This window comes from Homo sapiens, chromosome 8 (assembly GCF_000001405.40).
Source record: "Homo sapiens chromosome 8, GRCh38.p14 Primary Assembly".
Classification (NCBI taxonomy): domain Eukaryota; kingdom Metazoa; phylum Chordata; class Mammalia; order Primates; family Hominidae; genus Homo; species Homo sapiens.
The window spans coordinates 11627205-11649705 of record NC_000008.11 but is presented as its reverse complement, the minus strand read 5'-3'; the positions used below and the strand labels follow the sequence as shown (position 1 = coordinate 11649705).

Here is a 22501-nt window from a genome sequence, read left to right as displayed (position 1 = left end):
TTATTTATCCTCACATCCCAAGCATCTAGCCCCGCAACTGGGGGCATAGTTGGTGCTCAATAGAGGCTTCTCAGATGAAGGAAATAAATGAATAGTTTAGGCTAGATTTTTTGGCCAGAGGATTCTTTGCTGGGGAGACACAAAGAAGAGATTCTTTCCTGCTGTGCAGGGTAGGCTGTTTAGCAGCATCTCTGGCCTCTGTCCATTAGACGTAGGTTGCACTCCTGCCCCCACCTCCAAGTTGTAACAACCCAAAACATCTCCAGAGACTGTCAAATGTTCCCTGGGGACAAAATCCCCTGGTTGAGAACCACTGATGTAGGCCTGCAGAGAGTTCAGAATCTTTTGAAATTCACTGTCGGTAGATCCAAGTTTAGTAGGACACACATATTGATTTTATTAGAGCACGAATAAGAGATAAACAGCAATTCCGGAGGCCTCGTCCTGAAGAGGGTTCTATTACAAATGGTGGGAGGGAGGGGTCTTCTTCTAGTAATAAGGCTAGGAGGCTTTTTTTCCCCCTGATATTTCGACTTGAATTTCCTGTTAAATGGTGTGCAAAGCCAGTGGGAGAAGATACACTTTCCGTACCAGGCAGTGGCTCTGAGAGCAGTAGGGATTACAATTTTCAGAAATCAAGTTGGCACCTCTTCTGCCTCCCTCCAATTAAATCCCCTCTTTAAAAATCTTTAACTGATTTTCTCCAAAATCACTTTGTCCCTGAAGCTTCCCGGATGCATAAGCATCATAAAACACTTTGCACAAGCCTCCTTTCGCTGGGACCATCCACGAAGTGTCGGGAACACCAGGCATCCCTCTGCATCCTTGCTGTCCATCTGTGTCTCTCCGTGCCCAGGGCAGCAGCTTAAGGTAACGTTCCCTCTCTCCCACGTTGGTCCCCAACCACTCAGGTGACCGCTTCCCATGGGGTGAACTGGACACGTTTCTAACCTCCCTGCACTCAGTTTACCCTTTTGTAAAAGCGGATGATAATATCCCCCTCATCATGACTGTAAAGCAGTGGGCACCCAGCAATGCCACCATCCTCACAGGCCACGACACAGAGTTTGTTTAGGGACCAGATGGCCAGATAAGCTGCCCCTTCTGACACGAAGCAAATTCTTAGGTGAGGAAGCTCCTCTTATCTGGGGAACTCTCCCAGGCCCATAAGCCCTCCTTCCTAATCACAACGTTGGCTATTATTGTCTCCTGTTAGACATCAAGTTCCTTTAAAAGGTAGCACATTGGGCCTTAGCAGTAGGGCTGCCAGATAAAATACAAGATGCCCAACGAAATTTCAATTTCAGATAAACAACAAGTAATAAATTAGCTTACGTATGTTTCAAACATTGCACAGGACATACTATACTTAAAATTATTCATCATTTGTCTCAAATACAAATTCAACTGTGGAGTTTGTATTTTATGTGCGAAATCTGGCAACTCTACTTACCAACCATTTACACCTCAGGTAAGTACGCCCATTGGATCCATTTCAGAGAGGGAGTTTAGATAGAAAGAGAATAAATATGAAGTTCATGGAACTACCTCTTGGGTGGTAACAAGTACGGTGGCCCTGGTGGGTCATTTGGTATGGATTGGCTTACCAGCTGAGTTTTATCTGTCATGAAACAGCTTAAAAAAAAAATAAGGAAGCCTAGTTTCCACTGACCCTGTGGCTTCTATATGAAACATGCATGTAAGGCTTCTGTGCTGGACCCCTTCCTCAAGATTTTTGGCAAAGAGGACCAAAAAGTAGCTTCTGTGGATATTACTTATTTAGTATTAATGTGGCAAAGCTAGGTCTCAGCTAGACATTTCAAGTAAACAGGATCACGCCACATACAGTTGTTTGAAACCAGAGATTTCCTGTGACCCTCAGAGCTTTAACGAGAACCAGAGAAGTGATTCTTTATAGAAACCCGTTAATTTTCCCTCCTCCCCCGTTTAACCCCAAATACAACAAATCCCAGAACGTCTGCAGACAGTGGCTTGTTTGATAGATGAAGCCAGGAGGCCATCCCCCGATGCAGTTGTGCTGATGACTGGAGGCTGAGGCGGGTGCCAGTCCATATACAATAATTTCAAGAAGCTACAAACACAACTAATGAAGAAAAACATTAACCCCCAGCACACGATGTCTTTCGGTAAAGTCTCTTGGAGGGCTTTGCAAATCTCTTCTGACCTCAGCAGCTTAAAAGAGTTCCCAGGCAGATATGGAATCACGGTGGCTCCTTCATATTTCTCCTGGAGCAATCTACTGTCTCCAGACCCTGAACATTTGCTCGTGCTTTGCGGAGCAGACTTTGGCGGAATTCCCTATTGGAGGGACAACGATTGTTGTGAGATGACCATAAGAAACTTTCCCTCTGTTAAACAAGAAAATCACATCAGTTATTTTGCTAGGTTGAGCATTTTCTCTTTTCTTTTTCTTTTTCTTTTTTTCTTTTTTTTTTTTGAGATAGAGTCACCTCAGACTCCCAAGTGCCTGGGATTCTAGGTGTCCACCACCACACCTGGCTATTTTTTTTTTTTTTTTTTTTTTTTTTTTTGGTATTTTCAGTAGAGACAGGATTTCATCATGTTGGCCAGGCTGGTCTCAAACACCTGACCTCAGGTGATTCACCCGCCTCTGCCTCCCAAAGTGTTGGGATTACAGGTGTGAGCCATGATGCTTGGCCTAATTTTTGTATTTTTAGTAGAGACGGGGGTTTCACCATGTTGGCCATGCTGGTCTCGAACTGGCCTCAAGTGATTCCCCCCACCTCGGCGTCCCAAAGTGCTGAGATTACTGGCATGAGCCACTGTACCTGGCCATTCTGAGCATTTTCTATTGGGATAATATACGCAAGTGAAGTATAAATGATTGTTGCTGTAGTCAAAAGCTGTAAGAGTATCTGAGTTAAGGCATGTCCCTTGGACTTAGAATACGAGTGTTTTAGTGGAGTGGACTGACCCATGGTCTACAGGGTCCACATAATTCCATATAACCTCACTAATGACCTGCTACCTCTTTAGGGGAATCTGTGGAGGCCACCAAGTGCCCCTGGGTCACCAGAGTTGTGATCTTTCAGCTAGTGCTTGTCCAATTACAAGCGCATTTTTCTTTTTAAGAATGGTAGAGAAAGGACAAGAAGAGACAGGAAAAGAAAATACTAGATGCATAGCAAATCTTCAGGGTGAGTATTGTCTTGTGACACTTTTGTTTCAGGTACTTGATACACACATTTGTGTATTGGACTGCAGGTAAAGATATGTTTGCTACTGTGAGTTGTGCTGAAAACAATTTAAAAGAGCTGTCTTAAGCAAAGACAAATCTGATGTCATTACTTGGGCAGCTTTGAGTCCAAAATCCAGCCAAGGAAGTGAGTGCTGAGAGAGTCATCAGGCGAGTGCAGGAATGCCTTCTTGATTAGAGTCACAGGACAGAGTCAGGGCACCAACATGGTGCCGTCAGGCAGGTCTAACCCCAGCTCTTCACTTAGTACCTTTCAGTCTCTCCAAGCCCCACTTCCTAACCCTCAGCAAGTGGACTGAGTACCAAAAGGGCCAGGCTTTGTTCAGTGCTAACTTCCAGGGCTCTTTACCTCCTTGACTGTTTTAAGACAGCCTTTGGCTTCCTCAGCATAGGGAGGGGCTGAGGCTAGTGCCGAGCCTGTCTTCCTTGCCCTCCACAGGACCCCTGCTCTGACTGATCTGGGGTCCCTCCTCCTGGGGCTCCCACACAATGAATGTCCCCAACATCCTTGGCATGAGTGGAGATAGGAAAGTTTTCCAAATGTTTCCCTCTCCTCCTCTGAGAGATAAGATTCCCCCTCCATGTTTTTACCCATCAGGATGACGTGGGGCACATCTTGGGCACTTCAGGCTGGGACTTTTGTCAGTAGCAGGGTTGGCAAACCCATACATCTCCCTGCTTCATCCTGCGAAGGGGATCTCCAGCCACAGAGCCAATGATCCTTCCCTTTCCCAAATGCACATCATTTGAATTTGCCAACTCACAGACAGAGTGGACACTCTTCCCTCATTCTTCCCTTCTGGGTTTCCTTCCCGGCTCTTCCCTTAATTTTGTCTTTCCCCCTTTCCCTCTAAATCGTGCTGTTTCTGATGCAGCTTCCTAGTTTGTAAATAGGCACACCTACACATATATTTTTATGTTGGAGAAAGCATTTGCGGAAATTAAGCAAAGCCAATGAAAAACTGTATGGCTTTGACAATTGCATATTGCAAATATGCATTATGTGACTCTTGTTGAAATAGAGGTTCAATCAATCTAATGATCTTCCACTGTGCTTTCTGACTTGATCCCTAATTCTGAGGCTTATTCATCTGAAATATTCCTCACTTTTTGGGGGGCAGAGGTAGAGGATCATGTTTTTCCTTATAAATTGCCTTTAGTAATTGTTCAACAAAACATTTAAAGACATTGGCACTAAGTAGCACAAAAGTGATATCACTGCAACTGATAGGAAGGTATCTAACTAGAAATCAACAGTTTGACGGTTATTTTTCCCCCAGGATGTATACTTTACCACCTCCTCTTATAATCATAGTAAAGGTCGTATACCTGGAATTTAACTATTTAAAAAGCACTATGAAAATATCTTCCTCCCAAAGCCTTGCTGCACCTCGAGGGTGATCTTTGAGGAGGGAAGCATCTTGGGAAGAGCACACACGAAGCAGACCAGCCTTTTCCCACACTGCCTGGTCAGTCTTGATCCTCCCAGAAACAGATGCTAACATGGTATTAAACGTGCAAAGATTTTCTTAGGGGAAATGCATGTGTGAGAGAAAATGAGGAAGGAGCAAGAGAATCTGGAACTGTCAGTCTGCAAAGCAAGTTTAAATTCGATGAAGGAAAGAGGGAGAGACAGTTGGGTGGAAATTTCTTGACCAAGATGCCATCAAAGGCAAGTCTGGCAAAGCAGTCACGGTGTCACTGCACTCACGCTGGCCACCGGAGGAGCCCGCCCGCTCTCCCTGCTGCACTCAGTTGTGGCTGGGAGCAGCCTGTGCATGGTGGGAAGGGAGACCTCCCTGGAAAAGCTGCCCTGGATTTCAGAGCAGCGGTGCGGCCTGGTCCATTAGCGCTGCCCTAGTGGGCAGGTGGGGTGGGAGGGTGTGTGTAAGGTGCATTCTTAAGGCCACGCTGCCTAACCTGGCCATTTTCCTACCTACCTGATAGGGATCATCTGGCCTCTTTACATCCATGCTTGCTTAAAGATACTTTTGCAGTATGCAAGACTTCTCTGTTTTGTGATTAGTTACTATTCATAGGTAATCCACAGATGGATCATGCTGCTTACAGCACACAAATGTGCCTCCTCCAGAGTTTGGTTAGCAGGTTCTACAGCTGGAGAAAGCAAACAACTCAGGGAGTGCACTGAGTTCTGATGGAGTGACTGCTGGTGCCCAGCTTAGGCTCCATATCAGCCTCGGCTGTGTGTTCTCAAGGGAGCAGAAGCGGTAAGCTCCCTTGCAAAAAGTAATGCCCGTTGTGGGTTCCGTAGTGCATGAGAGGTTAACCCTGCACTTGGAGCCTCTCTGCCCCTTGGCAGTTGAGGTGCACCTCGCTCTGATCCTGTGGCACAGCCTGGGGAAGCCCCGAGGCCTCCTGGGACTGCTGTGAAGGGCCAGCCTCTCTTCCTTATGGCCCTTGCCTTGGCTCCTACATCCAGATCTGTTACCTCTGGTCAGCCTCCTGCCAGCTGGCACGATGTTGGACCCTTCACCTCTTCAAGCAGAAATCTTGCCACTCTTGTATGTCATCTGGTTAGTGAATTCACTGCAGCTTTAAGGATCACTTCAGGTACGTCCTTCTGCCACCTTGCCTCGTCTCCCTCCTCACTCCATGTCCTTTCCAAAAGCCCATGTTCCCCGGAGCCCTGGGTTCCCCCCGACTCCACGCCCCCGACACTCTAGCTCTCTGGGAGTAACTGCATCTGCTCTGAGAACTTCTTTCCCAGACCCCTCCCCACCAAACCCACCTTTCCCAGGCTCCAAGAATTCTGGGGAGTAAGAATGTCCTCTCCTTATGATCATTTTTTAAAGATTTCTTTTCTGAAATAATTTCAAACTTAACAAAAAAGTTGCAAAAACAGTACAAAGAATCACCACATACCCAGATTTCCCAAAGGTTAACAGCTCACAGAACCACAGCAAAACGAGTGAAATCAAGAAACTGACCTTGAGGCACTCTATTGTCTAATCTGCAGGTCCCTTTCAAATTGCACCAGTTTCCCTTCAAATGTCCTTTTTCTGGTCTAGGATCCAATTCGAGACAGGCTCACACATTGCATTTCATTGTCACATCGTTTTAGTCTCTTTTAATCCAAATTCTGGCGGCTGGGAGGGCGAGGGTTGGCAACATTTTTCTGTAAAAGACCAGATACGAAATGTTTTAGGCTCTGCAGGTCATGTAGACACCCTTACAGTTATTTTTATTGTTTCTAAATGAATGTCTGGCAAATCTAGGCCAATAGATTCTGTAGATTAAAAAAACACAGTCTCTGATTTTTCTATCATTTCCTCATTATTCCTCTAATATTCCTCTAATATTTCCTCATTAAAAGCGTCTGACAGCCATCCGCATTTATCCAGTGTGTTTTAAGCAGTGCTCGGATGGAGTGAGACAGTGCCCATGAGCACAGGCTCGAGGGGCTCCATCCTCGTTTGGACCAGGAGGAGTGGGCGTGTCCTGAGGTTGAGCCCTGAGCTGGGCAGATGGGCTTGCAGAGCAGCTGTGTCTGGGTTGCCGGCTCTTCCACATCATTTAGAATGGAGGCTGCTCACGTCTCAGGGGGCTGGGACCCACCCAGCCTTCCCCTCAGTGCCCTCCTTCCCTCCCCCAATCGGAATGCCTGGGGAACGGGCTTCACTTCAGATTCCTTCCCAACCCAGACTCTTCTTCCCCAGTGTGAGATGCTTGGAATCCCAGACAGGCAGAGTCAGCTGAGGACGGTGGGAGAAGAGGGCGGGGGCGGGGGGGGGGGGCGGTGCGGAGAGGAATAAGCCTCTTCAGCAATCAAAGCTGGCATTGTTCTCAAAGAGTTAGCCTGCATACCAGGCTTGCAATTAGCAGGGAATAATGGGGTGTGATGGCTGCAGAACAGCGGCTGGAACTGACTTTCAGCCTCACGGTGACAAACTGCCCTGCTGACTTCCCTGCCGTGTTTCCTGGTAACTTGCTGTGGGCAAGCTCAGTAGAGCAGAAATCCTCAGGGTAGGGGGAGGGAGCAATCTGTCTTCGAATAATTTAAACAATGCAGCTCAGCCAAGCTAAATGGAGCTTATCAAATGTTACACCTCTTAAAGCTGCAATCAGAGGCGGCAGGATATTAACTGTAAAGCCTGGGTTCTGCTCGGAAAGAAGGAAAGACCAGACTTGCTACTTAACAGAAAAGAAGGAGGAGTTTGAGAGGTGACTGGAGAGAGAATGGGATCAGCTTTGAAGCCCAGATCAAGAAGCAGATATTTGAGGACGGGGCAGGGAGACAGCCTTCACGGAGCACCTACTGTGTACGGGCCTGGCAGCTCGTTTACATAGATCGCTTTCTCTAACCTTTGCCCCAGCTCTGTAGAGACATGCTGTTATTCATACGCATTTTTAAATTTCTCTAACCTCTGCCCCAGCTCGGTACACACATGCCGTCATCATATGCATTTTTAAACAGTAGAGCGAATCACTTGAGACTTGTTCGCTTGCAAAAATGTTAGAAAACCCTGACTCCAACTGACCTGAGCAAAGGGATTTTGTTTTCCTCTCTGTCTCTTGTAGTTAAGAATCTAGTGAACAAGCTTGATTCAGGGCTGCAAGGATGTCACCTGCAGCTGATCTCTCTCCACCTCCTGGGTCTGCCTTTTGCTGTGTTGGCTTTAGATTCAGGCTCCTTGAAGAGGTAAAATGGCAAGAGCCACTCGGATCCCTGGCGTCCTCTAAGGTCCAGGCCCAGGGAAGAAGAAGAGCTCTCTGCTCTAAAAGTTTAAGCAGGACTGACCTCCAGCTCCAGCCAACATGGAGTGAAAGGCCATGTTCACTCTCACCTTAAACACTCAAAACCAGTATATGAAGCAATGGTTTTTGGACAAGAAATAGCATTCAGCTGGGGACAGGGACCCTCAAGGGAAGCAAAGGAATGAGTTGAGACTCCCATTGCCCCTGCTCTCTGCCTGGGGAGTTTCTTTTCTTTTCTTTTCTTTTCTTTTTCTTGAGATGTAGTCTCACTGTGTCGCCCAGGCTGGAGTGCAGTAGGGCGATCTCGGCTCACTGCAAGCTCCGCCTCCCGGGTTCACGCCATTCTCCTGCCTCAGCCTCCGGAATAGCTGTGACTACAGGTGCCTGCCACCACGCCCGGCTAATTTTTTTTTTTACTTTTAGTGGAGATGGAGATGGGGTTTCACCGCTTTAGCCAGGATGGTCTTGATCTCCTGACCTCGTGATCCGCCCGCCTCGGCCTCCCAAAGTGCTCGGATTACAGGCATGAGCCACTCCGCCCGGCCTGCCTGGGGAGTTTCTACGCTGCAGGACTGGGACGGGAGAGTCAGGTGGAGCCTGGTGGTCTCCACGAGCAGAGGCGGACCCGGGAATCTGGGGAGGACAGGCAGCTGCAGGTCCCTGGAGAGAGCTGCACAGAGAGAGAGCTCTGGAGACCTGCAGAAGGTCCCCGCTGAACATTCAGCAGACGATGGACTGGACCAGACCGTGGCATTCACACAAGGAAACTACTGGAGCCTGGGGAAACAGCCCCTTGAAGGAACGGGCATACCAATTCCCAGAGCTCACGCTATCAGGAACCTGGTCCTGCTAGCCAGAGTGGAGACAGCTTGTAAGACACAGGGCATCAGGAGGAGCATTTAGAAAGCTGCCGCCTCAGTAGTGACAATTAGTCCAATTAGCCCTTGACTTAAGGCTGTTCTGGTGCTAGCAGATCTCATGCAAGTCTTGAAAGGAATAAACTGTTTCCAAGTGACTGAACGAGATCCCAGAATAAAAACTCGAGAACATCTGAAGAACATGTAAAAATACCCATCACTCAAGAAGGTAGAATTCACAGTGTCTGTCAGCCGAGTAGAAATTACCAAGAACACAAAGAATACAACCCTTCATGAACAGAACTAGAAATCAATAGAAATAGAGCTAGAAGTGATACCAATGATAGTAAACAAAGACACTAAAACTGTTATTATAAGTATTTTTTTATATGTTCAAAAAGGTCGAGAAAAACATGAACACTTAAAATAGAGATATGAAACATAGAAAAAGACCCAAATATAACTTCTAGAGATGGAAAAACAAACCTAGTTGTTATCTCAATGTCTGAGGTAACAACTAGACAGAATGGGACAGTTTTGACATTGTAGAAGAAAACATTACTTGGCTGGGAGCAGTGGCTCACGCCTGTAATCCCAGCACTTTGGGAGGCCAAGGTGGGCGGATCATCTGAGGTCAGGAGTTCAAGACCAGCCTGGCCAGTATGGTGAAACCCCATCTCCATTAAAAATACAAAATTAGCCGGGCGTGGTGGTGCATGCCTGTAATCCCAGCTACTCGGGAGGTTGAGCCAGGAGAATCACTTGAAACCAGGAGGCAGAGGTTGCAGTGAGTCGAGATCGAGCCATTGCACTCCAGCCTGGGCAACAAGAGTGAAACTCCATCTCAAAAAAAAAAGAAAAAAAGAAAACATTACTTAACTTGAAGAAATAGCAGGAGGGTGCAAGAGTAATTTGCAAAAACCGCAATTACTTTCGCACCAACCTGATAGCAATAGAAACTATTCAAAATGAGAGTCCAGACAGGCCAGGCATGATGGCTCATGTCTGTAATCCTAGCACTTTGGAAGGCTGAGGCGGGATCACCTGTGGTCAGGAGTTTGAGACCAGCCTGACCAACATGGAGAAACCCCGTCTCTACTAAAAATACAAAAATTAGCTGGACGTGGTGGCACATGCCTGTAATCCCAGCTACTCGGGAGGCTGAGGCTGGAGAATCACTTGAACACGAGGCAGAGCTTGCAGTGAGCTGAGATCGCATCACTGCACTCCAGCCTGGGCGACAGAGTAAGGCTCCATCTCAAAAAAAAGAAACAAGAAAATGAGAGTCTAGGTGAGGGTGGCTGTTGCCTGTCATTCCAGCACTTTGGGCAGCCAAGGCAGGTGGGTTGCTCGAGCCCAGGAGTTTGAGACCAGCCTGGGCAACATGGTGAAACCTTGTCTCTACAAAAAGTTAAAAAATTAACCGGGTGTGGTGGCATGTGCCTGTAGTCCCAGCTACCTGGGAGGCTTGAGGTAGCAGGATCACTTGAGCCTGGGAGGTTGAGGCTGGAGTCAACCATGATTGTCCAGCCTGGGCGATAGAGTGAGACCCTGTGAAAGAAAGAGAGAAAGAGAGAGAGAGAGAAAGAGAGAAAGGAAGGAGGGAAGGAAGGAAGGAAGGAAGGAAGGAAGGAAGGAAGGAAGGAAGGAAGGAAGGAAGGAAGGAAGGCAAAATGAAACAGAGAAAAAGACTGGAAAATAAAAGCCCAAATGGAACATTAGTGAGCTATGACACTGCATGTTGGAGTCCCTGAAGAAGAACAGATGGGCAGAGTCTCTAATTTGCACACTGCCACCCTCAGGGACTTGTGTATGGGGGTGCTCTGTTGTTAAATAAATGAATGGTGCTGTTGCCTTGTGACCTTGCACTCTTCCGCTCTATGGAGTTGGTCTAATAATGAGAGTCATAGTAACGATGGTGATGATGACAGCCCTTCATTCACTGATCACAGGACATGTGAGAATACACAGAATCCTTTCTTTTCCCCTTGCAGCAGTCCTGTGAAATCAGGGTCACTATCCTCACATTACAGATGAGGAAATAAGCATATGAGGCTTCTTTGTCCCATGAAGGTTTAGCCAGCACAAGTATCTTGGGGAATCCAATTTGATTGTATAAATTCACATAGTTTTGTGAGAAGTTGAGCCCCTGGATGTGATTTGAGCTAGAGGAGAGGGGATCGGAGAACAGCCTTGGTTTAATCTTTCATGTAACTTGTGTGCATGGCAAGTCTTTTTCCGTCTCCAGTCCTCATGTTTTCTTCCTATGATAGGAGAATATTTGAATAAATTGGTCTCTAGGAGCCCTTCCACTGTGAGTATTGGTTTCCATCACTTGTGTGTTGGGAATAAATTTGTCCAGGCTACTTAATGCAGTCACTTTCAGTTATGTGGCATTTGTACATGAAACATTTGTAGCATTGTCTCATAAATGACACTGAAAACAAAACTTTAACGAATGTTAATAATGTTTGATGACTCAAAAACTGGCGCATAATTCCCTGTTTCCCTAAATAAAGGCTATTATAATGGATTCTTTTTTTTTTTTTTTTTGAGACGGAGTCTCGCTCTGATGCCCAACCTGGAGTGGAGTAGCACAATCTCAGCTCACTGCAAACTCTGCCTCCTGGGTTCAAGTGATTCTCCTACCTCAGCCTCCCGAGTAGCTGGGATCACAGGTGCGTGCTGCCATACCTGGCTACTTTTTGTATTTTTAGTATAGACGGGGGTCTCATCATGTTGGCCATGTTGGCCATGTTGGTCTTGAGCTCCTGATCTCAAATAATCCACCCTCCTCAGCCTCCCAAAGTGCTTGGATTACAGGCGTGAGCCACGTCTATAGGTGCCCAGCCTATTTTAATCTATTCTTGATGACAAAGAGTAACACAGTGATGCCTCCATGACCAATGAGATGTAGAACACTATCTACCCTGAAACTATATGTCCACATTGGTCTGCTTTAAGTAAGTTAAGTTTACTATCCCATCTTTAGGTTGTCAGCTCTCAGTTTTCACTAATATGAGCATTCCTTCCTCTTCAGGGTCTCCCTCCAGTGTGCCGTGGGCCAGACCCTGTGGCAAACACACACCCTCACATACACACACACTCACATACACACACCCTCACATACACACACCCTCACATACACACACCCTCACATACACACACCCTCACATACACACACCCTCACATACACACACCCTCACATACACACACCCTCACATACACACACACTCACATACACACACCCTCACATACACACACCCTCACATACACACACCCTCACATACACACCCTCACATACACACACCCTCACATACACACACCCTCACATACACACACACTCACATACACACACCCTCACATACACACACCCTCACATACACACACACTCACATACACACACCCTCACATACACACACTCACATACACACACCCTCACATACACACACACTCACATACACACACCCTCACATACACACACACTCACATACACACACACTCACTGCTTTACTGCAGTGTGACCACCCTGAAGCTGCAGAGTCGGTTTTTATAACTCTGATACTAACTGGACGGATGTCACACAAGCCATGAGAAAGGAGGACCACAGCATGCCTACAGCATGGTTTTGTGTGGAGCCTGTCCTAGACATCTCCCTCTGGGCTCCTCATCTTTGCAGAGTCCTTCCTCTGGGCTCATCTTGCCAGCTTTCCCTTGGTTCTGGCTTCTAAATTTCTAGCATAGCCTGGAGTATGGTTTTGGTCTTTGAGTTGGTCTTCATGGGAGTGAGCTTTGCAAGTATGTGGTCTTGGTCATTGCCAAGTACTGTTTGCATATCATCCCACAGTCACTCCTCAGGCATTTGAACCCCCTCCCCCCTCAGATAACTCTCAGACTCCCCAATAATTGCACATGCATGGCCTCAGACATCCAAGGGGCTCCCCTTGTCATGAACACCATTTTGACTGAATACACTGATTTTGCTCACACCTCTACAGCTCTTTGAATGACAAAGTTATGAACAATTTGACCTGTTACACATAACATAGATAACGTGACATGGAGCTATTAGCAGCATGAACTCAGGCAGTTGTAATTACTTTCATAAGATAATTGCTTAAACTCATAGTATTTCTAACTTGCAGTTTCTCACAATTGCATCTTAACCTGTAAATTGACTATATATTTTAAGCTGAAATATTTTAAAGTGAATTGCAGGTATATCCCCCCTAAATATTTCCAAATGTATCTCTAAAACATAGACCATTTTCTTAAACAGTCTGATATAGTTTGGGTATGTGTCCCCTCCCAAATCTCTTGTTGATTTGTAATCCCCAAGGATGGAGGTGGAGCCTGGTGGGAGGTGTTTAAATCTCTCATGGTTTGGTGCTCTCTTCCTGAGAGTGAATTCTTGTGAAATCTGGTTATTTAAAAGTGTATGCTCTCTCTGTCTCTCTCTCTCTGTCTGTCTCCTTTCCTCCTGCTTTGCCATGTGACGTGCCTGCTTCCCCATCACCTTCCGCCATGATCAGAAGCTTCCTGAGCCCTCCCTAGAAGCTGAGCAGATGCCAGCATCATGCTTCCTGTAAAGCCTGCAAAACTGTGAGCCAATTTGATCTCTTTTCTTTATAAATTACCCAGTCTTAGGTATTTCTTGTTTTTTGTTTGTTTTTGAGACAGAGTCTTGCTCTGTCTCTCAGGCTGGAGTGCCATGGCAAAATATCAGCTCACCACAACCTCCGCCTCCCAGGTTCAAACGATTCTCTTGCATCAGCCTCCTGCATAGCTGGGATTACAGGTGCCCACCACCACACCTGGCTATTTTTTTTGTATTTTTAGTAGATAGAGGGTTTCACTACATTGATCAGGCTAGTCTCGAACTCCTGACCTCAGGTAATCCACCTGCAGCCGCCTCCCAAAGTGCTGGGATTACAGGGGTGAGCCACAGCCCCAGGCCAGGTATTTCTTTATAGCGATACAAGAATGACCTAATATATGTCAAAATAACAGTATAATATCAAGAAACTAATAATAATGTATTAGTATTCTCTAACCTCTATTTTGTGTTCAGTTTCTCCTGACATCCCCACCGGAACCCAATCTGTGATCGTGCGTTGCACCTGGCTGTCACTTCCCTTGTGTCTCTTTTAATTGGTGGAAGTCTATGCGCTGTCTCCCCTGCTGGATTTTTCTGGTCACTTCCCTGACAGTGTCTCCTGGCTTGCCGCTGTGTCCCCTGTTTCTTCCATAGCTGGCAGGTCCTGCAGCCCAAGGCTCCAGATGCCTCCACCCTTCCCCATGGCCCAGGCTATTCTGACCTATGGCTGAACACTTCCTTGAAGGGCAAGAGGACACTGGTGAGGAGCACCCCAGGGAGCAGAGGGAAATTTCTCCGTCCCCAACCTGCTAAGTCCCCTACAGCAGGGATACTTCCTGATTTCAGAAGAAAAAAGGAAAGTGCTGACAATTGAACTTCATCACCTACACCTTGGCTCTTGTACCAGGCTCCCCGCTGTCCTCCCTGCTTCCGGGCCAATCCCTTCCAAAGCATCCTGTAGTTTGTTTAGTTCCGTTGGACAGACTGTATTGAGCTTCCCCAATGTGCCAGGCATGGAGCTAGGGGACAGGGTTGCAATGTTGTATAGGAATGAGTTCTGAGTCCCAGTCCTTCAGCCCACAGGCTAGTGGGGAAGGTGAGGCTGTCATCAGGTAACAGCATCGCAGTGCAGTGTATGGGTCTTTATATGGGGTGCACTGAGGACACCTATGATGGACGCTTAGTCCAGTCTGGGGCCAGAAACCTTTCCAGAGGAGATGCTCCCTGAGATTGTCTTGAGGGGCAGATGAGACTCATGCAGCCATAGTGGAGGGAGGGAAGGGCATTCCAGGCAGGGGGAACAGCCCAGCTGCAGGCATTGGGGCAGGGAGCAACATGGGTCTCAGGGCTCTACAAGCAGCTATGGGTTCCCCTGGAGTGTGACTCGGCATGAGGCTGTGCCATGGAGGAGCAGATATGTTCCACCGAGGAACTGGGACTTTACGTTGTGAGTGATGGGGGCTCACTGAGAGGTGTCAAGAAGGGGCAGGCACAGTCAGGTCTGTATGTCAGGAGCTCAGGTGAGTGGAGTGCCCGAGGGCAGGTGGGGTGAAGGGAGGTGGGCACCCAGGTGAGAGCTAGTGCAGGGCTGGGGAGGGGTGCCAAGGCCTTGGCCCAGGTGGGGGCAGTGGGAGAGGAGGGGCAGAGATGGACAGGGTAGAACTGAGGGCACCTGCGATTGGTAGGGGTGCGGATGAGGGAGGGAGAAAAGGCCATTGCCAGGTTTCTGGCCTGGTTGCCACTGCCCATTAACACAGGGAGGTGAAACTGCCTAAGGAAGAACCGTGGTGCTGGAGGATCAGGAAAGATGACTTGGTTCTGGAAAGTGTTGGAGTTAAGGTGCCTGGAGTGCCTGGATCGTGTTCCACTTATTAGGGGGTGGGCCGACCCAGGCGGCGATGCTAAGCAGGTGCTCTGGCGTGCTTGTCTAAGCTCTGAGGAGAAGCCTGGGTGGTGGGTATGGTGTTGTCAGCAGATGCACAGCAGCTGGCATGGTGAGAATGGATGATACCACCCAGGTCATAGACAGAAAATTGCAGTGGGCCGAGGTGGCCGAATGGTCGGAGAAGGGGGAGGAGAAACGAGGAGCATGTGGATGATGCCACAGGAGGGTTCGAAGAACAGCAGAGAAATGTATAGCGTTCCACACCCCAGGTCCAGAGAGACAAAGCCTGGAAAAAGTGCCGTGCGCTGGGAAACAGGGCGGACACGGTGTCCCTTGCCAGTGCAGTTTCAGTGGAGTAGGAGGAGGAGAGGAACAATACAGTGGCTTAACCTTCCATTAATGGGTACAGGCATTTGGACCCCAGGAGGAAAGAGGAGGGAGGATGAGATAAAAATGACAGTCGAAGTACTGGAGTCAAACAGGTGAGGTCCGCATCACCTCTGTTCAAACCCAGCCACATGTTCATCCTGGACTGAAACCCAAGTTCCTCAATCCAGGCCTCGGTGGTCCCAGGAACTGGTCCAAGCCTGCATTTGGAACTTTCTGGAGAGAGATCGCCCTCTACTTCCCCATAAGCCTCCATCCCGGCAGATTAGCCCGAGCATGGACCACTCCCCTGCCTCTGCACTTCTGCTATTCCTCATCCTGGAACCCCCTTCCCAGACTTCTTTGTCCCGCCAAGTCCCGTGTACCTTTCAAGACTGAGACCCTGCCTCACTTCGTTTGGGAGGTCTTCTCTGTCTACTCCAGCAGAAACCATCTCATACCCTCACACCCTCAGTAATGGTGAGCCCAGCCCACTTTTTTCTTCCCCACACAATTGAGATGTCTCCCCAGTCAGACCAGCCTCTTCAGTGCTGGATACTGAATCTTGCATTTTCTTTTTTTTACAGTCCCTAGACTGCCCAGCCTCTGTCCCAGGGTGGGACTTCATTAGCCACAGAGGGGAATCTCAAAGGTAGGCAGTAAGGCCCTGGGGCTGCTTTCCAGGGCCTCGCACACAAAGTTCGGTCTCCTGAACTCACCACATCTCCGCTGTCTTCCCAACACCGAGTTCAGAGAGCAGGAGAGATAGGCAGGTCCAGGCCTTGCCCCCAGTGGCTGGAGAGCCTGACGCACACAGCCCAGGCTTTGCTGCAGCAGAGGAAAGGGCAGGTGCTTCCCGGAGAGCCTAGTTCTCTTTCGAGGGACAACGCCAGAGCCTGTTTGCGGGGAGCAGCCGACACCACGCTGGATGTTTTGTGCACATAATCTCATTTAACCTTCACAATCTGAATTGTTCTTATTCTCAAATGCCTGCTGTGAGAGTGAATTCTCAGGGCTTGACCAGCTTAGTTGCAAACCGCAGAAGCAGCCTTAGCTGATAGTGAAGAGAGGAAAGGCTTTATGAGAGACGTGAGTGAGCTCCAGGCTCACTGAACAGTGGGGGCACAGGCTCTGGGGTGATCTTGCAGGAACGACTTTCTGAGCCTGATGGAACTGGCCTGGTCAGGAGCCAGGCTGCAAGACCCTGGCCCCGCGTGGCCTCTGCTACAATCCAAGTCCCGTGCCTGTGTGCCCTGCAGCCTCAGAGGCTGGGAAACAGCTTTTTTTGTGTGTTTTGCTTTTTTTTGTTTTGTTTTGTTTTAAATTCTACATTGGGAAAGTGGATTTACAATAAGGAAACCATAAAACACGGAGAGAATGTTCCTAGGGGTTTGGGCATCCTTGCACTACCGTCCTATCTGTGCCGTACCTCAGGCAGACCCAGAACGTTTACAGATTTGCCAGCGAAGGAAACTAAAGCTCAGAGAGGCAAACTCACAGCTGGTTTTGGGGCAGCTGGGATCCAGGACTGTGATGGGAAGTTTCCATTCTTTCCACGTGGCTTGGAGGATTAGGCTCTCAAAGCAGAAAAGTGACGGTGGCTTTGACAGAAACAGGAAAAAGGGGGGTGGGTTCTGTGGGGATGGAGATGGCTCACCTTTAAAGATACCAAAGGCGCTGTTGGGATTCAGGTGGCCACATCCGACAAGCAGTTGGAGGTTGAGATTTGGAGCCATTTAGCCTGTCTTCCTGGCCTTGGAGAGAAGTTCTGAACAAAACGCCTCTATGAATTTAGTCTCAAGATCTCTACGTGTTTCTCAACACACATGCATACACAAGGACACACGCAGACACACACATTAGCACACAGACATACACAGACACACAGTGACACATGCATAAACAGGGACACACACATGGACACATGCACATATGTGCACATACACTGACATGCTCTGACACACACTTGACACACACGTGTGCCCACACGCGCGCACACACACACGCACAAACACACACACACAGGTAACATTGACAGCCTGTGGCTGTAGAAGTGCTTCCAAGGGCCTTTCTTTTTTGTCCTTGTCTGGAGTTTACAGCACTTGGAAAATGTCAGGCGTGGGAGGCCTTTTGGTCTTGGGTTAGGGTAAACTCCCTCCACATATTTGGAGAGCCTCCAGGCCCTGCAAACCGCTCACGAAGCAGATAACAGTGACCTTGCTGCTGAGGGAGGACGGCCCTGCCGAGGCCAGGGAGCTGTGCTGGCAGAGCTGAGGTTACCTCTCCTCCCCGCTGCACCTGGGTCGGCTCTGATGTCAAAGACCTCCCCCGCTCCATCCCCGGTTGGGCTCCCGGCCCTCTTTGTGCCGGAAACACAAGGCCCAGCTCTCAGGGAGGAGGGGAGGGCAGAGCACTGCTCTGTAGTTCCAGGTGGAGAACAGCCCAGCTCTCCCCTAGGGGCTGCAGGCTGAGTGTCCGACTCCAACCCCCTTGCCTTTTTGCAGGCCCAAAGCGGCTTCTCCAGGATGGCGACAGATTTTCCAAGACTCATCCCAGGCTGGAGGGGGCCCAGCTGCAACTTCACTGGTGTGTGTATGTGTGGGTGTCCACAGGTTGAGCTGACCCTGAGAGTCCTGGTGCTAGAGGGCTGTGGAGGTCATGTCATCCCAACAGAACCCTCTCTGCTGGCATTCCCTTCAAGGGCTCATCCTGACCCATTCAGGGAGCTCACTGCTACCAGGGGCAGCCTATGGATGGTGGAGCCTCTCCAGGTTTCTGCCTCTCTGTCACTTCCACTTGGTGGCCTTAATTGCACCTCTTGAGCTACTCAGATTAGGACTAGCCCTTCTTCCACATATGTGAAAACAGCTGCATTCATACATTCAGCTACATATAGCTTTGAAGCCCTCCCCAGTCAGCCAGCTCCCTCTCTTTGGCCCCCATTTGCAAGTTAGGGAAAGTTCAAGTCTGACTGGGTGCAAGGCCTGGTGCTGGGAGCTGGGGATAGACACATGGTTTGCTACAAGTAGTTGGTGGCCTAGTGGAGGAGGCAGACGGCAGGCCCTGGTCAGCGTGCTGAGTCTGGGGGAGGGGATAGCAAGCCTGCAGGAGGACATGCAGGAGTTACTCTGCTGGGGAGCTGGGGGCCTTAAGGTGCTCCAGACAGAGGGGACAGGATGCGCAAAGCCTGAATGGTGCAGCACAGTGCCCTGACCTGCAGGTGGTTCAGAATGTGTGGGTCTCAAGCAAGCCTACCGGGTATGCACCCAAAGGAAAATATATCATTCTACCAAAAAGACACCTGCATTTGTATGTTCATTGCAGCATGATTCACAATTGCAAAGATATGGAATCAACTTAGGTGCTTATTAGCAGTGGACTAGATAAAGAAAATGTGGTATATATACACCATGGAATACTATGCAGCCATAAAAAGAAGGAAATCACGTCCCTTGCAGCAACATGGGAATGCAGCTGGAGGCTATTATCCTAAGCCAATTAATGCAGGAACCGGAAACCAAATACTACATGTTCTCACTTGTAAGTGACATAAACCTTGGGTACACGTGGACATAAAGATGGGAACAACAGACATCAGAGACTTCAAAAGAAACAGGAGGGTGAGAGGGGCAAGGGCTGAAAATCTTTCTATATGCTACTATGTTCGCTGTCTGGGTGATGGGATCCATAGAAGCCCAAACGTCAGCATCATCCAATATACCCTTGTAACAAACCTGCACATGTATCCCCAAACCTAAAGTTATAATTAAGTGAAAAAGAAAATATGGGTTGCAAACAGCTGCAGCGCTTGCAGGGCCTCAGGGCATTGCCTTATCCTGAGGACCATGGCAGGGGTGGGAGGGTGGCAGCGTTCTGAAGTGTTTTCAGCAGGAGATGCAGAATTAGGTGCGAATTTAGTTGGAGAAGGGGTTTCAGGGGCTGTCCAGTGGTGTGGGCAGAGAGTCCCGCACAGGGGGCTGCAGTGGCTCTGGCGAGAGGTGGTGGTACCTAAGTGCCAGTTGTGGCAGTGGCCACGGGGCTTGGGAGCTGTAGGTGGAGTTGGGCAGACCAAGCCCTCTCTCCTCTGGCCATGGAGCTCCAGAGTCCACACAGATGTCTACGGATCTAGCTCGAAGCCCTCCCTGATCAGCCAGCTCCCTCTCTTTGGCCCCCATTTGCAAGGTCAAGAAAGTTCAAATGCGGTGCTCAGGATGGAAGCAGACTTCTAAGTGATGTCTGACACTGTGGGCTATTTCGGCACTTTGTTTTCCTCCTTCTCGCCTCTGTCTTCTCTGCCACCAAGGTTGACACTAGTGGCCTGGTAGCCACGGAGCACAGTGGGCTCCTACAGAACTCACAGTGTCTCCTGAAGACCCCAAAACTCCTCCATGCCGTCTGTTTCAAGCCCACACTCCCTCTGCCCTCATTGTGGAACTCGGCAGTTGGTATCTAGTGCTTAATAACAGGAACGCACATTTATGATTATTCTTTGCATTATCCCAATGAGATTCAATTTTCTTCGATTCAAGTCCTCCCACCTGCACCGCTTTCTCCTTTAAAGCAAGAGCCCTGGCTCAGAAGCCTCGAGGCTTGGCCTCTAGATTGATTTGTGACTTTCAACCGTAGTTCCATCTGCTTATAAAAACATAAGTCATGCCCTTTTTCACGCCGAAAAGTGTGAAAAAAGAATTTTATATTTTGCAAAAGTTTTCCCTAGAAGTTGCTGCCTGGGATATTTTTCATTCCATCTTGAAGGGATAACACTGCTAGTTGTATGGAGCAGTGAGGCAGCTGGGCCCAGCTCTGTCCACCTTCCGGCAGCCCCCAGAGGAACCTCGGGCTGCCTCTTGGGGCCCACTGGGCAAACTCAGGGAAAGACAGAGTCCGCCTGGCCGGCTTTCCTGAAGTACCTCCACCTGGGCCTGCGCAGCTGCCAGCTGGCTTGAGGCATGGTGGACACGCTCTTTTCTGGGACCTCTGAAAGACCATGTGAGTGCGATAGGAGTGTGTGTGTGAAGTGGGGGTCAGGTTATTAGGGGTGGAGGGAAGGGAGCTGTTTGATTAATGAGTGTCCTGTGAACCTGCACATTTGCCCAAGGCTGCATTCCTGGGCTTTCAAACCCGGGCAGTTTGATAAGCTGGGACCAAAGTCCTCTTTCCGCCCAGCAAGAAGAGCAAACAGGGCCACTCACTAATCCCAGCCCTGGCCTCTGGGGCTGTCTCTCGGCAACCAGCTAGCCAAGTGGCCTTTCACAAGCTAATCAATGAGCATCCCTGGGACCTCTGGGAGGCCTGGCCAGCTTGCCTCAGTAGGACAGGAGGGAGGCCAGGCTCACCCAACCTCCAGCATGCAGTCTGAAGGCCTGTGCTTAGCCAACTGGGCCCTTCATGACGGCAGTACCTGCAGTCTCTCCCGCTCCTTCCTGCAATCATTCCCACAGGGCAGCTTATCAGCCGGGCCTCCTCCATTCCTCCAGTGCCCGCCTAGAATGCTCTTCCCTACTTCCATAGCTCCTTCCCTAATCTCCCTCCCCCAGGAAGCTGTCCCTGACCAGCCTCCATGGGACACCCCCTTCCCTGCATCCCTACTGCCCCGGAGCCCTGGGTTACGGTTTAGCACCAGATACTTCTTCAGTCTGTTCCTGTGTGTTGGTTTGGTATCGCCAACTAGACTGTAAGCACCTTGAGGGTAGGGCTTCAATCTTCGGATCGTCCACAGTGGGGGGCACACTGGTGACTTTGGGAGGGTAATATTGGCGAGGGGTGGGCTTGTGGGAACAGGGGACAGATCCAGGGGTAGAGGCAGGCAGCTCTGAGGCCGGAGACCTCAATCCCAGTAAGATGTGGAGGGGAGGCTCTGGGAGATAAAAGGCAGCCGTGGAGTCAGGACTGGGGAAATGTTTATTTCTGGGGAGTCGCAGTAGGTACCTGTGGGGCATGGGGGTGTGGGCCCAGCCTGTCTCCATCCTCTACTCTAGCCTCTGAGAACTGCTTCTCTCCTTGGTGGGGCCCAAGCGATGGAACTGCATCTGTGTCTGCACCACTGGCTCCTTGTTCTTGACTACAGATGATTTGTATTGGGATGGACCCCGTAGGGCCCTCCAGATTCTCTTCCCTGGAAACTTGGGCTTAGGACTGAGAGAGACACATCTCCATCTCTGGGTGTTTGCCTCTGACAAGATGCAACCAGCTATGGGCTGTCTGCAGGGGGGAGCAGTGGGAACCAGACCGCGAGACAGAAGGAGGAGGCAGAGGTGCACAGAGGAGCTGAGACCAGGAACTCATAGCCCAGCTTGTGGACGATTTTGCTTCATATATCATCTAAACCAACCCTCACTGCCCTCCTAAGATATAGGTACTGTTAAGATCCTTTTTTATACATGGGGAGAATCAGGCTTAGAGAAGTTAAGTAATTCACCAAAACACACACAGCCGATAAGAGGGAGACTTGAACCCCGTCCTGCTGACTTACAGAGTCCAAGTGTCACATTTCTCCTCCCTTTGCTCCCAGCAGCTTTGTAGATCCAGGCCCCGGTCTCTCATGAGAACTTTCTGTACATCTCACACTTCAGTTCCACAGGATACCAGAAGAACTGTGACCAGCACTACTGTAACAAGGTTTTACTTTATCTATCTATCTATCTATCTATCTATCTATCTATCTATCTATCCATTCATTTATTCACCCACTCATCCATCTATCCATCTAATAATCTATTCATCCATCCATCCATCCATCCATTTATCCATCCATCCAGATATCCATCCATCCATCCATCCATTTATCCATTTATCCATCCATCCATCCATCCATCCATCATCTATCAATCCACCTATCCAAC

At 49.0% G+C, this 22501-nt stretch overlaps 1 long non-coding RNA gene across 3 annotated transcripts, besides 3 other annotated features; it reads right to left on the bottom strand.

Moving 5' to 3' along the window:
* Positions 1-372: 372 nt before the first annotated feature.
* Positions 373-17505, bottom strand: LOC105379242 (uncharacterized). Of its 3 annotated transcripts, none has more exons than XR_948960.3 (3): positions 17317-17505; positions 6187-6374; positions 373-2369 (listed from the first exon to the last, which is right to left on the bottom strand). It is a non-coding gene; the product is annotated as an uncharacterized LOC105379242 (long non-coding RNA). The 3 variants fall into 3 exon arrangements; XR_948958.3 differs by lacking the exon at positions 17317-17505 and adding an exon at positions 16379-16616; XR_948959.1 differs by lacking the exon at positions 17317-17505 and adding an exon at positions 6879-6967.
* Positions 18387-19277: an enhancer, noted in NCBI's record as "H3K4me1 hESC enhancer chr8:11487938-11488828 (GRCh37/hg19 assembly coordinates)". NCBI's record gives its function as "activates a minimal SCP1, AML or CMV promoter by ChIP-STARR-seq in naive H9 embryonic stem cells {active_cell/tissue: H9 hESC(naive)}" and the evidence as "EXISTENCE:reporter gene assay evidence [ECO:0000049][PMID:30033119]".
* Positions 20592-20886: a silencer, noted in NCBI's record as "tiled region #10445; K562 Repressive non-DNase unmatched - State 20:ReprD". NCBI's record gives its function as "represses a minimal TATA promoter and a strong SV40 promoter by Sharpr-MPRA in K562 cells {active_cell/tissue: K562}" and the evidence as "EXISTENCE:reporter gene assay evidence [ECO:0000049][PMID:27701403]".
* Positions 20592-20886: an enhancer, noted in NCBI's record as "tiled region #10445; HepG2 Activating DNase matched - State 5:Enh". NCBI's record gives its function as "activates a minimal TATA promoter and a strong SV40 promoter by Sharpr-MPRA in HepG2 cells {active_cell/tissue: HepG2}" and the evidence as "EXISTENCE:reporter gene assay evidence [ECO:0000049][PMID:27701403]".